Source organism: Homo sapiens, chromosome 7 (assembly GCF_000001405.40).
Source record: "Homo sapiens chromosome 7, GRCh38.p14 Primary Assembly".
NCBI lineage: Eukaryota > Metazoa > Chordata > Mammalia > Primates > Hominidae > Homo > Homo sapiens.
The window spans coordinates 15,422,650-15,438,506 of record NC_000007.14 but is presented as its reverse complement, the minus strand read 5'-3'; the positions used below and the strand labels follow the sequence as shown (position 1 = coordinate 15,438,506).

The following is a 15,857-nucleotide window of genomic DNA, read 5'->3' as shown; positions in this document are numbered from 1 at the left end:
TAGTCTCTGTAATGAATAAAAAAGTGTTAATATGCAACATGAAAAATAATCATTACTTTATGTAAGTTATTAAATATTATTGTATCTCCATTTCTTCATCTATAAAATGGAAACTATATAAATATCTACCTTCTAGTTCAGTTCTGGGAAATGTATGAGTTAATACCTGTAAAGTGTTCTAAATATTCCCTACATGATAAGCTTTCTTACTCTTATGTGTTTATAATCACTAATATTTATTATTATTACTAATAATATTGTTATCAATATAATTTAGATTTTTAAGTATTTTATTCAAATGACAATAAGCCCTACATTAGTTCTTGCTTTTCGATTGTATGAAAACAAAAGTTTAGGTTGAAAAGATGATAAATTCTTAAGGTACTTTTTACTTCGTACTAAAAATCTATCGTTTTATTTTGTTTAAATGTTGAGAATATTGTCACACAAATGGAGACATCTTTTTTAAATTCTGCATACTAGAACTTAAAAGCTTCCATCTGAACACGAATAAAAAAGAAAAAATATGTTAAAGTGTGATTATGGGATAGAATAAAGGGAAGGTATAGTGTTTGCCACAGTTTTAGCTCCATCCTAAAGTGACTCCTAAAGACTCATGGAGCTTACTCTTCTAGAGAGATTATTTAATGTCTACATGTGGCCAAACATCCGGGCGCAGTGGCTCACGCCTGTAATCTCAGCACTTTGTGAGGCCGAGGCGGGCGGATCACGAGGTCAGGAGATCAAGACCATCCTGGCTAACACGGTGAAACCCCGTCTCTACTAAAAATACAAAAACAAAAAATTAGCCTGGCGTGGTGGCGGGCGCCTGTAATCCCAGCTACTTGGGAGGGTGAGGCGGGAGAATGGGGTGAACCCTGGAGGCGGAGCTTGCAGTGAGGGGAGATCCCACCACTGCACTCGAGCCTGGGCGACAGAGACAGACTCCGTCTCAAAAAAAAAAAAAAAAAAAAAGGAAAAAATTTGGTTGCTCCTTCAGAAGCCTGGTTTCTATCATGCTGAACATATGGATATATACAAATATACAAAATGTGTGGAACAAAAATATGGAGGCCCAGCCAACTTACAAATTTTATTCTAATTAATTTGGTAGTTTTAGATATACTTAATTTGTGTTCTGATATTAAGTGAGCAAGGATAGAATAGAAAAATTATAAGACAAAAGTTTCTACTTACTGAATGAATTGGTAATGCCATTTATTTTTATCATCACCAACTGTATTTGCTGCTATAGGAAGTGAATGAGTTATGATGATAAAATTGATGACACTTCTAGTTCATTCAATGAATAAAGAATAGTGAAAGAAATTAGTGTATATTTATTGTTATTCATGGGCTATTATATTTTTTAGTTAGACTTTAGTTTGGTAGCTTGAGTCTGTTACTAATTTTATTTCATTTACTTAGCTCAATTTATTTATTATATTTATTTATCAACTAAGCTTTGATATTAAGAAAAGACAAAACAAAATTTAAAGGATTCATTTATATGGGCACCTCCAAGTTCAAAGGGATGATTGTTTTCAATCTAAACTTAAAAACTTAATATTTTATATTTAGATATCTTGTTAAAGACCGTTGCTACAATTCAAGAAATTTCGCACTATCATTTAATAGCATGTGTTGAGCTCTTTAATCCCTTTTACATATGGAAGTTACCAAAGATGTGCCATGATTGTCCCAGAGAATACTTGGACCCAGTCACCTCCATTTCTGAAGGATTAAAACAAAATCCAAAAGAGGAAAGAGTGTATCAAATAAGTCACTGTTGAGAAAGAGAACAATGAGAAACATGTTCTCCTTCTTTAATAAAACTCTTTTTTTTCCATTCTTACTTTCAATTTTATTTTCTTTATAAAATTAAAAGTTTGGATTAAGTAATTTCTAGACTCATGCAGCTCGCTGTTGTTTGACTATTTGTCTCCTACAGAATTCATGTTTTAGAAACTTAATCACAAATGCAACAATGTTAGGAGGTGGGGCCTAATGGGAGGTGTTTAGGTCATGAAAGCTCCACCCTCAAGAATGGATTAATGCCCCTATAAAAGGGCTTTTGCGAGTGGGTTCACTCTCTTCTGCTTTTCTGCCTTGGGAAAATACAACGTTCTTCCACTTAGAAGGAATCAGCATTCATGATGCCATCTTCGAAGCACAGAAACAACTCTAACCTACCAGTGCCTTGATCTTGGACTTGCACAGGGACTGTGAAAAATAAATTCCTGTTTATTACAAATTCCACAGCCTCAGGTATTCTGTTACAGCAGAACAAAATGGACTAAGGCATAGCTCTTCTGTTCTATAGTCATCGTACAATATGCTAAATGTTGCATAAAGTGCTAGCAATATGATTTCAGTGGTGTCAAGCATCACTACCATTTTGCAAATAGGCCTATAATATTTCTTCCTTTATAACTAGGGAGTTTTCCAGATTATGAGTGAAACCAACATCATCATTCCAAGGTTGCGCCAAGACTTCTTGGCCTGCCCACTATTGGGAATTAAATGGCTATCTTATATGTCTGTGAAAATTTCTTGTAGACTTGTCTTTATGTCTTGAATTAACATACAGGATCATGTCCCTCCATTTCATAGATGACAAGATAGGAGAGAACATATTTTAAAGTGCATTTTAGATATTTAATATATGTAGGAGGGTTACATTCTGGATATTTAGATATTTCTAATTTTTCTGAAAAATTTCTCCAAAATTACCTTTGTTTTTTGTTATATACACCAGAAAACTAAATAAAATCATCAAGAATATAAACTGGATTTCATGAAAATTAAAACTTTTGTTCTTTGTATGACACTATTTAAAAAAAAGGCTATGGCCTGGAAGAAAATAAATGCAAATCACATATTTAATAAAGGACTTTTATGCAGAAGATACAAAGATGTCTCAAAACTTAAGAAAACAACCCATTTAAAATATGGGCACAAATTTTGAATAGACACTTCAAAAAGAAGATACATAGATGGTGATTAGGTACATAGAGCCATTGTCATTAGCCATTACAGCAATCTAAATTAAAATTTCAACATGATACCACTGCATACCTATTATAATGGCTGTCAAATAAATACAGATAAAATTAATGATGTCAGGTGCTGCCAGAGATGTGGAGCAACTTGAACTCTCACACACTGCTGGTACTAATAAAAAAAAAAAAAGGCACAGCCACTTTGGAAAACAATTTGATAGGTCCTTAACAAGGTAAATGTAGGCATATCATACAGCTCAATAATCCCACGCCTAAGTATTTACCCACGTGAAATAAAAACTCATGTCCACAGAAAACCTCTATGATAACTACTTGATAGAACTTTTATCTGTCAAAAACTGGAAACAACTGAAATGTTCTTCAACTCATGAATAGATAAAAACAAAACAAAACTGTGATATAGTCATTGAAGTGGAATACTAATGATAAAAAGGAAAAAACTACTCATAAAAACAGCAAAATGAAGGGATCTTCAATGCATTATGCTAAATGAAAAAAGACAACAGACTCAAAAGGCTAAAAATACTGTATGATGTTATTGATAGGATACACTCAAAAAAGCAAAACTAAAAGGAAAGAAAACAAATCATTGGATACTAGGGACTGAGAATGGGGTGGGGGTGGGAGTGAGGGATTTTTGACGACTGCATTAATTATCTATTGCTTGTAACAAGTTACAAGCTTAAAACAAGAAACGTTTATCATCTCATAGTTTCTGTGGGTTAGAAATTGGGGCATAGTTTAGATGAATGTCTCTGGCTCAAGTTCTTTCAGGAGGTTGCTGCGAGTCGGTTCAGCTCTTTGCAAACTGCAGTGTCATTGGAATGCTCAAATGGAGAAGGATCTGCATCCAAACTCTCTTACATGGTTGTTGGCAGAATTCAGTTCTTCATGAGGCTTGGACTGAGGAGCTTAGTTCCTTACTGGCTGGTTATCCCACTTCCCTGACATATGTATTTCTTCAAAGGGAGCTCATAACAAGGTAGCCAGCTTTTCTTAGAGAGTGTTTGAGTATGAGAGGACACCCAAGACACAAGCTACTGTCTTCTTTAAATCTAATATCAGAAGTGACATCCCATCATCTTTGCTAAATTTCTGTTTACTAGAAGAAAGTCACTAAATCTGGCTCACACTCAAAGGTAGGAGATTATAAAAGGCATGAATACCGTTGGATAGGAATCAATGGCGGCCATTCTAGAGGATGCCTTGCCTAGTTAGCCCTCTGGACCTCAGTGATTCATATTTCTCCCACATTCAAAAGACACTCACTTCTTTCCTGTTCCCAAAAGTTTCATCCCACTGCATTATCAGTTCAAAGTCCAGAACTTGAATTATCTGAAGCAGGGAGCCATCTTGAAGTCTGACTACCACAACCACAAAAAGGAGGTGGGGGAACTCTTTGGGGTAATAAAATTGTTCTGTATCTAGAGTGCAGTAATCATTAAACAGCTGCATTTGGTAAAAACTCATACAGCCGAACATTAAAAGAAGATGGATTTTGTTGTATGTAAGTTACATCTTCATAAAAAAATTGAAAAAGAAATTCAAAAATACAACACAGACCACACACACATTACATAAAATGTTGGCCAAATGAATGGAAGTGTTGGCCAATATATTAATAAAATATACAGAATTACATTTGGCACTAGAAAGCAGCATAATCATTTCTAATTATATCATGGAAAAATTATAATAACATATACATATATTAATATAATCTATAATTTTCGTATAGAAAAAGAAAAATGTTATTGAACAGAATGTATAATTATATGAAGTCTTTCACAGAGAGAAGCTTATTCTAAATAATATCTTTTTCTCCTTCTTAATATTTGTTTTCATTTCTTAAAACAGATAATTCATCAATTCAAGTATTAGGGAAGATGATCATATAAATGCATTAAGTTTTTCTCATTTTGTTCACAAAAGAACTACTGGAATAACTTTCCATAAAATGCATTTTCATAATCACTTTTGAAAATAATTTACCTCCAATAAGCTGAATATAGACTGTGAAACAAATTCAGTATTCCTTCTTTTTTTTTTACCAATTCTGAAAAGTGACAGAGGTGAGGCAGTAGGATGCTGTTACTGTGCCCTGTTTGCACAGCTGTACCTCATTGAATGAGGCTTGTGTTACACACAGTTTGTGATAGGAAGTAAATGCTTTTGAAACAACTAGAAAGACAGATCTTTAACCTCCACCTTTGTGGATTCTTTGTTTCACCGTTTAGCTTCTGTAGAGGGTATAAGGAAGTGGCTCCCAATATATATTATGACTCTCTAATGGAACCTCATCTGATTAGCTCATCCTCTTGTTAACTCATTTTGTGGATGCATTAGAATGAATTTTTTAAAAACAAATCCTGACAGGTCAAAAACTAGACAATGTATTGATTTTCAATGAAGGTTTATAAGTCATAAGTTATAAAATCATAAGTTATAAAATGTTCAGCAGTGGGTATGTTCTAAAGAGAAAATGGTGTTTAGATTACTTCAGGATCTCTATCTGTAAGCGGTTTTTAAACTTTAGGGGATTCATCAAATTTATTACCTCTTATTCAACGTCCACCTAACATCTGAAGATATAAAGTGCCACAAGGGTCTTTTTATATTTCTTATGTACAGCCATTAGGCTTATCAATAAACCAGATAATTTGGTTCTGTGTTATTTCAAAGATTATGACTGCATATTTTTAGAGGTCATTATGGTGAAGTAGTTCTCTTTTGTGTAAGAACAATTTCCTTAATTGCTAGCATAGAAATACAATGTCTTTCCTACAAATGATTAAAATAATTAAATCACCAACCAATTGGGATCTAAGTTACATATCTGCTGTGGTTGATGACAATACGTGTTCCATTGAAAAATATATGACTTTAATAAAAATGGCATTTGTTATCTGTTCATAATAAGACTAACCACAGTTCTGTTTATAATATTCCTTATTATACAGAATTAAGTCCTTCTTATATCTATGAGCTATCATTTGTTTACCAAGACCTTTTTTCTTTAACAATTTTGTTTGGTAATTCTCTATACAGACTGTTCAGAGAACTTTCATTTTGAAAGCAATGGCCAAAATTTACCCAGATAGTGTATATATATATGTGTGTGTATATATATATGTATGTATATATATATATATATACATATATACACACACATATATATGACCATGATTTTCATAAAAACTTCTAAAATTATTCTACTATGTACCATGCATTTTAACAGTCAGTATATGGCAACTGCAAAGAAAATTAACCTGATATTTCCAGTTCTAGCTTCACTGTTTAGTTCCTATACATCCAAGCCTAAAAGATTTAATTTCTAACCTATACTGGCAAGGATATGATGATCATGTCACATAGCTAATTCCATTTCCTGGATTTGTAGCAAAAGACTAAACATAAGTTACTTTAGCTAAGAACAGATTTTTTTAAACTGAATAGAGTATAATGTGACATTTCGATCTATAATTTTGTTAGGAAATGAAAAATGGCAATACAATTTTTAAAATATGGGCAGAATAAAAAATGACTTGGGCTATTCTGTGTCAACTACTTAGGGGATCAATGCAGTGTCATATTTGTTGTAAAAATTTTTTTAAAAACCACACTTCTTTGGAGTCTGTATGAATTCCAAGACAGTATGAGAGCAATCTGTATAGTGCTTGATGAAAATAAACAACAATCATTTTCCTTTTTTATGAACACAGATAAAACTATGTGGAAAAATTTAGAAATGGTTTAGTATTTTGGTAAGGTATGGGAAAACCATAGGTAACTGTTAGCTAATATCTTTTTATAAATAAAAGAGTACCTGAGAACTTAGTGCAAAATATTACTATGCTATGCTTTCTTCTTATTCCAACAGATTTTGAGACTTCTCAGAAAGCCATGAGGAAATAATTTCATTAATATTTTATTCCAAAATTTCCATACCAATTTCTCCCATCAGACAATTTTTCTTTAGTTAGAAACATGTTATCACACGCTGAAAAATCATCACTATCCGTTGAATGTATTGTCACAACATTACCAGCTAGCTTTTATAATCTGTCATATTATAATATGTTAGCAAAGTATAACTTTTGGAATTAATGTCAGTTTGTTGGAGGCATTTAATTATAACATATAAACTATACATATTTATTGGCTATGCTTTCATTTTTATTTATTTACAATGTATACAGTCTTTGGTTCCAAAAATTATTTCAGGCAGCATATTTTAATTATAATTATATTGGCCAGCTTTTACAGAGATGTTCCAGATTTTTCTTCCTCACTCAACAGAGCAGCATGCATAACTGAAAATGGAAGTTGCTTTGTTCTTATTCTCATGGCTCATTGCAAATTATGTGTTTTGCAGAAGTTAATATTATGTGGGCCGGACACCAAACACATCATAGTTCTGAAGACTATAACTTATCCACAGCACTGAGACAGTCTGTCCTCCAGATATATACTTCCTGGGTAAGTTGTATGAAATGGAATAAACATGGTAATCTAATTTGTTTTTAAGTCTCAGCTATTTCTATTTCCTCAAAAAAAAAAAAAAACTAATAGAAGGTGTTTTACTAAAATGCTTCTCTCTTCTTTCTAAAGCCAGATGCTAAAATCTTTCTTTTCCTTCTGTAAGGCCAGACACACATGAAGCAAATGCTGTTTTTCAATAGAAGCATTTTATTTGACCCAGAAACTCAAAGTATACGACAATGTGAGAAAGTGAATGGCTATTTTTTAATTTACTGTAACCCAGGAGGGTGATGTATAGATAAGGTATCTCCATTTAAATATATGTAACAAGGATTTCAGTAAAAACTTTTACCAGTTTTTTTTTTTTTTTTAAAAAAAACCAGTTGTTTTTTTTTTTTAAAAAAAACAACTAATTCTCTAAAATCTAGTTGAATGCTTTGCTTTTTGTTATCATAATAGATCAATATCATGATCCAAAAATTTTTGGCTCTAAAATATTCTCACACAAGGAAATTACAAGATTAATGAATACCAGAAATAGCCTCTACTTGTAGAGTTCTTTTGACTCATGGGGAAATCCTGATCTACTTGATAATATCCCTTTTTTTGTCATCTTCCTTGCTTAGCTCTTCTTGGTTATGAAAATACATGATACTGAAATGTATGTTGAACAGTGAGCTAGAAAGTCAGAGTAACTGATGCGTAAAATCAGTAATCATACATACTTAATATTGGTGTGTAAAATCAATAAGCTATTTATTAACTATAAATTATAATGGTCAAACATTTCCGTGGTTCAAAATACTTTGCAAGGTACTTTTGTTAGATACCATTTAATAAGTACGTACTATGTGCCACTCTTCTAAAATCTCCTTATATATTGACTTACTTCATCTTCACAACAGCCTTCATACACAGAAATTATTATTGCTCTTATTTTAAAATAGTAGAGCTGAGTCTATAGTTCAGTCACACCACTAATAAAGGAAAAAGTAGAACTGCAGTCTTGTTCCAGGACCCCTGATCTTAATCTCTGCATTCTAAATGCTCTTCTACATGCCTCCATATTGTTTTTCACTTATGTTATCTTTTCTGATCATCATAAATAAGCCTATGGTTCTCTAGATCAAGTATTATCATTCTCAGGGAACTGAAGATCAGTGAGGTTAATTACACAGCTAGTAAATGATAAAGCCAAGTACTTGAAACCAGATGTTTTATAAGCCTTAGAAAAATACACTGGCATGTGTGCTAACCCAAACAGCAGCATAGGCAAAACAAATCTATAAGCCAGGGATGTTACTAATACATTTCCTGGAATGGATCTTAACAGGAATTCACCCTCAAACTCCCACACCATACACCTGTGATGACGCTTGTATTCTTTTTCTAGAGCTGCCATAAGAAGATACTACTAACTGTGTAGCTTAAAAAAACAGAAATTTATTATCTCACTGGTCTGGAGGCCACAAGTCAAGTCAAAATCAAGGTACTGCCAGGGCAATGCTCCTATAAAGACACTAGGAAAGGATCTTTTCTGGTTCTCTCTCTTAGTTTTTGGTTCTTTCTGGGCTTGTGACAACGTAATTCTTATTTTCACATGGCGTTCTTCCTGTTTCTTTGTCCACATGTCCTTTTTAGGAGGATACCAGGCATATTGGTTTAGGGACTTGCCATACTCCAGCATGACCATTAGTTAAGTTAATAATCTTAACTAATTATTTCTACAACAACCCTATTTCCAAATAAGGTCACATTTAGTGGGTATTAGGGCTCAGATTTCAACATGTGAATTTGGGTAGGGAAGGCACTATTGAAGAAACACTTCTAAGCAATATATGTGGAAAGGAAATATGTATATATTCATAACCTATAGCTTATGCTGGAACTCTGGATGATTAAGTACAAACAAAAATCACTGCCTATTTTACAACTGTATAGTTCAAGACTGGATTAAGGCTTCAGAGCAGTTAATGGGGGGAAAACAGGGCACGTGATGGAGGAAATCGGTACTGTTCATCCTCCCTTCTTAAAAAATTGCTGCATTAATACAGCCTTTTCAAAAGGCTGAATATATAGGCTGGATATATGGCTGGTCTCCAAAATCTTTACTCTCTTCTGACTTATATATTTCTCTTTTATTAAAGACAACTGAAATCTCCAGTAGTTGCATTTTCAGAGAGAAAGCCTCCAAGAAAGGAAGTAGCTGCATTTGAAGTTGCTCTGGGGAAATCAATGCAGTTAATTAATTACCTGAGGAATTATCAAAGGGAAAAATTATCAGAGCATCATTGACTTCAGAACTAGAAGAAATCTTGGAGATGATATATTTAAGTCATCTATTTTCAAAGCTATAAATATGAATCTTAAAGAAGCCCACAACATCAGTATTGAGCAATGCCAAGTTGGAGCTTGAGTCCAGTTTATTGTAATCTCTGTCTTGGTTTCTCTTGTGTCCTTTTCTTTATTAAGTCAATGCATACAAAGTAACAAAGCAGCAAAAATCTATGTAAAATGAGACTCACACTTGTTTTATTGCCAGAATAATTTATCTTTACAAACTCATGCCATGTTGTTAGGGAATGTGCTGAATAAGGCAACGAACATTGAGAATGCATGACAAGCTGCTAAATATTTTTGGAAGGGGACTGCGGGAACTTGCATGGTGGGAAATGAGATATAGGGATTGTAAGTCAGCCTGGATTCTTACCTAGCATTTCTAGGTCCCTTGGAAGATAGGAGAGATGTTTTAAGGGCCTGTGATGGTTAAAGACTTCTAAGAGGACTTCCTAGACATCAAAATTATAGGGCACACTTCAGGTCTCTTCATTTTTGTTGAGTCATTTGTCAAGATTTTTCTCACCAACATTGTTACATGAGGCCGATAATTTAGCAGTTACCAAGGTAACAATGTATTTTAGGACAAATAATAAATGGGCCGCATCTTTGAAAAGAAAATTGATCTGTGAAATGAAATGTGAAATTAAGCTCATTTCACATTGAAATGTGAAATTAAGTATATTTCTTCTATATTACTATGAAAATTAGAACAGCACAACTTTTGAAGAAGTTACACATAAGAATTCAACTTTCTAGAATTTCTAACCATATTATTTGCATTTTAAGCCAATTTTAAGCTTAATATTACTCACCAACAAGGAGGGCTATTGATAGAGTGCCATTTTAAGTGAGACTTCTTTACTGCATATACACTGCAATATATGGTTTTGCATGCCACTTCAATCTTTGATTATACATCCTACTATCATGTCTTAAGAATAATACTCTATCCAATTTGCTAATAATAAAATAATGATAATAATAAAATGTGTTTAAATTCATGGATGTCATATAAAATATTACAGTATCAGGATTATAACTTCATTTTTTCTGACATTATAGATAAAGTACTTGAATGCTGAAATTTTATATTCAGAGCAAAGGCACTAAAGTGCGTGAAAAAGAAATTCTTCATCTGGATGGAACTCTAAAACAGAAAAAGAACATTAGGGATTAAACATACAAAATCCCAACTAGTGAATTCTAAATAAAGTGTGGAATTCGATTAATACTAATGTACCTGTGGGTTTCTTAGTTGTGGCAAATACAGCATAACAATGTGTTAGCAATAGGGGAAAGCAAGTAAAGGATACAGGACGACACTTTGAGTTATTATTGCAACACTTCTGAAGATATTAAACTATTATAAAATAAATAGTTTATTAAAAAACACAGCTACACGTGCATGTGTACGTGCTTATACTCAGAGCCACTATACATTATGTATCTACTATAGAAAAAATATTAGAATGAGCCATCAACAGTAGACATTGTTTCCTGGGAATCCTAGAGTATTATAAAGAGCAACAAATATATCAGCCAATATTACTTTTAACTGGATATTATCCTAAAGAAACTCTTCATTTTTTCATTCTTTATCCCTCAACCCATCACCCACTGTTTCCTTTTCAGACCACCATTCGAATGAAGCTAACTCTGCCTATAGTTTAGAGAAAGGAATATAATAGACTCCTTATCACATGCAGAGCTAGTCAAAACTTGGTTTCGTCTCTCCAGTTTCATCTTCCACACACCCCATTTTCATCCCATCTCCAATTTAACGATTTTCACTTCTCTCAATCTACCATGCCATAATGCATTGCTATTTCTTTGCACATGCCATTACCTCTGCCTGGAAAATTATTTTCCCTTTACCTCTGATTGTTCTATCCTTCCAAAAAAAAAATTTTTTTTTTGACAAATTGTCACTCTGTCGCCCAGGTTGGAATGCAGTGGTGTGTCTCAGCCCACTGCAACCTCCACCTCCTGGGTTCAAGCGATTCTTTTGTCTCTGCCTCCTGAGTAGCTGGGATTACAGGTGGGCACCACCACGCCCAGCTAATTTTTTTGTATTTTGTATAGACAGGGTTTTGCCATGTTGCCCAGGCTGGACTTCAACTGCTGGCCTCAAGTGATCCGCCTGCCTCAGCCCCCCAAAGTGGTGGGATTATAAGCATGAGCCACCGCGCCTGGGGAAGATTTTGGTTTTTGTTTGTTTGTTTGGTTGGTTGGTTCCATAAAACCCTTGCATTTATCTATTTTAGTAGTTAACGCTTTTCATTATTGTTATTTATGTTGGCCTATAAACTTTCAAAGAAATTAGTCTATTTTTCACTGCTGTATACCTAGTATATGTAAGTGTCTACTACAGAATTAGTGGTTAATAAATGTATGTTACATAAATGAATGAAATAGAAAGTATTATAGTTGTCAAAATAAATTTGGCAATGGAAATATTTTTGCTAAATTAACTAGAGTCAGGCCAATGTGAAACTAATAAAAGGTAGAATGTGTGAAATAATTTACATCTGTTATTCATTTAAATATTTTTATTTAATAGACACTCCAAAAATTACAGTATAGGATATATAATTTGTTTACCTTTTGCAATAAAATATATTTGAACATATTTGTTTTATCTATAAAGCTAGTATTGAACAGAAAATAGTGAGCTAACTGCTTTCAAAGAGTTTAGTATTTCTCTCAAAAGCATAATAAATTAATGACAAATGAACTTAATTGAAATTACTAGAGTGAGTGAATTTTTTAGCTCTGTCATGTCTTTCCACCTTTAAAATTGCTATGTTCTCTACGTTGGTATTGAAATTAATTTTATAAGATTTAGCACAGTATGTTTATAACATATTAGCAACCCTAAAAAAGGTAAATTTTACCCACCATCAGAAAAAATAAATACAATTGGGCTGGGTGTGATGGCTCATGCCTGTAATCCCAGTACTTTGGGAGGCTGAGGCAGGCAGATTGCTTGAGCCCAGGAGTTCAAGACTAGCCGAAGCAATATCACAAGATGCTGTCTCTACAAAAAATAAAATAAATTAGTCGGGTGTGGTGGTGCACGCCTGTAGTCCCAGCTACTCAGGAGGCTGAGTGAGATGTGAGGATCACTTGGTCCCTGGAGGTTGAGGCTACAGTTATTCGTGGTGGCTCCACTGCACTCCAGCCTGGGTGACAGAGCAAGACCCTCTTTCTCAAAAAAAAAAAAATAAAATAAACAAAAAGAAAAGAAATACAATTATAACATCAAATTATGAAAATCTCATTAATAACATTATTACATTATCATATGGAGAATATGTAAATCAATGATGATCTTATTATATTTGAGCATAATAATTTAAAAATATATTCATTTATATTTAGGAAACAGTAAATAGCAATTGACTAGAAATAAAGAAAACTGAGTCCCACGCTAGCTTAGTTGTTTACTCACTTTGCTAATTTGAACCGATCAATTAATGTTTGAGTCTCAGTGATTTTGCATATGAAATAGACCTCTTAATATTTACTCTGCCTTCTCATGTGGTTATTTTGAAGATCACTTTAATTTATGAGTGTGGAAATTCTCTGAAACATATCAAGTATGATTCTTATGTGTGATATTATTTTTATATTACATATGAGACTGCAGAGAAACCTTAGTGAAATCTCAGATCTTTTTATTACATTGTACTCCCTGCCAAACTACATAAGCAAAGACTGTTTTTCAATATGTGGGAGTTGGACTTATATAAAGACAAATGTGAACAAATAAAGATACAAGAAACTAACAACTTTGATGTAATGCATTTGAATGCACTGGGGATAAATTCTCATAACTCTTTGTCACAAAAGGAAAGCATGCATTAAGCCCCCATGAAGTAAAGAAACAAAACTTTTCTCAGAACTTTGCCTCGGAACTCCAAGGCATTCCTTCTTCACCCTCAACCAGCACTTAAAGATGACTAATAAGACAAAGTTTATGTCCATTAAAGAAATGAGGCTCTTGGATAGTTTGAATCATTGCTAGTATCAAAGACTAATGCTAGCATGCGTCAGGAAAATGGAATTAATTATTCTGTAGCTTACAGAAATATTCAAAGTCATTTTGAAATTTGGTAAAAAATAAAATTATTCTCTGATTTTCAGTGTTTTTCTTTACAGAGATTTGATAGTCATTTATAGTTCTAATGAAGGATAAACAAGAGGAAGCAAATTGAGTTCTCTCTAAAGTTGCATTGTCTTATTGCCACATATTTAAAATGTACAAGTGGCTAAAAATTTAACCTCCTTTATGTGTCATTGTTCTTATTATGATAGTGCATCACCCATTTTTTTCCACATATACTTTTGACTAGCAGGGCCAGTCATGGTGGCAGAGATTGGGGATATAAAGATAAGTAAGAAGTGAGCTTGTGTTCTCAAGGTGATGGTTTTACTTGGAGGGAGTCATGTAACTGAACAGCCATTGCCACAAATTTTGAAGGTTTTAGAGAGAAGTGTTTGCACTGAGAACCGCTATGGGTCAAGGGAAGCTTCATAGAAGAAATAAAGCTTGAAGCAAATCTGTAATGAATAAAATTTTGCAATGGAGGAGGTTGTAGATAGAATATTATGTAGAAGGACAACATCTGTAAAAACACAAAATTATAGAAAAATATAATACATTTTAGGAATAACAATAAAAATGTATGGCATGTGTATTAATTTCCTGAGGCTGCTGTAACAAAGTACCCAGAGCTAGGTGGCTTAGAACAACAGAAATTTATCTTACAGTCCTGAAAGCTGGAAGCCTGACATCAAGATGGCAGCAGGGTTAGTTCCTTTTGAGGGCTATGAGGGAGACTCAGTTCCATGCCCCCCACCTAAATACTGGTGGTTTGCAGCTTTGGTGTTCCTTTGCTTGAAGATGCATCACTGAGATCTCTGCCTTCGTCTTCATGTGCCATTCTCGCTGTGTGCATGTCTATCTCCGTGTCTAAATTTTCCCTGTATATAAAAAGACAAGTCCTCCTGGATTAGGGCCCACCTAATTAACTCATTTTAACTTGATTACCTCTATAAAGATGCTATTTCCAATTAAGGACACATTCTGAGGTACTGGGTGCCAGGGTCTCCCACACCATGTTAATGAAAATCAATTCAACTCATAACAGTATGAGTGTGGCTAGAATATAGGATGTATACAATGGTGGAATGGGGTAAAAAGGAAATGGTTAAGTGCATAGAAATGGGACCAGAAAAATAGGCATAGGTTACTTAAAGATAATGACTTTCTAAATAGAAACACAAACTCTTATTTCAAACATAAAATCTAAGTAGATATGTCTTAAGGACAGAGATCAATGCTCTCTATCTATAATCAGGTAATTTTGATCTGTGTCATTACTAATCATAGACTTAAGGAATGTGGCACATGCTATTTGATTCTTCAATCTTTAGTTTCTGAATTCGGATGAACATTTTTTTAAATTGCTTTTTCTCTAAAGTAATGTAAAAATAAATGAAAATCCTAGAAATATGTACATTAGTAATGTTAATGAAATATTTTTCAACTATTAAAATAAAGTAGACATGAATTCTAGAGTCCAAAAGCTTTTTCGTTTTTCATTTATTTAAAAGTAATTTTACGCTGTTTAGCCATTTGCTTAGCAGCTTACTCGTGGAGTACTTTACTCTCTCACCTCCTACATTTTCTGTTTGTCATTGCCTCCTCACTTTACTTACCTCGTCCAAACTAAGAAGCCTAGTTTCCATGACTCTGTGAAGCACAGTCTGCATCCTCTGCTGAAATCCTGTGCCTTGAAATCTTCAGGCCATGAGTAAATCCAGTCATCTACCCTCTTCACTCCCACATCCAGATTGCTGAGTGCTGCAGGCTTCCTCTTGTACCAGGTTGGCAATTTCGTGCCCCTCCATGTATGGATTCAGATACACCTGACCCCTAAATACTGCGTACCAAGCCATGGACATGAGACTGCCCTATTTTCTCCTCTCTACCTTGGGGAAACTCTT

The 15,857-nt window shown here is 33.7% G+C and overlaps 1 protein-coding gene across 7 annotated transcripts in view; it reads left to right on the top strand.

Annotated features, from left to right (window-relative positions):
- AGMO (alkylglycerol monooxygenase) overlaps positions 1–15,857 on the top strand; it is a 444,793-nt gene that overhangs the window by 123,509 nt on the left and 305,427 nt on the right. For all 7 annotated transcript variants that reach the window (XR_001744759.1, XM_017012204.2, XM_011515402.4 and 4 more), the window contains exon 4: positions 7,399–7,502. Coding sequence is in view for 6 of the 7 variants with exons in the window: in XM_017012204.2 (XP_016867693.1) it covers positions 7,399–7,502 (104 nt within the window). In the remaining variant the exon portion in view is untranslated. The remainder of the gene's footprint in view (positions 1–7,398; positions 7,503–15,857) is intronic.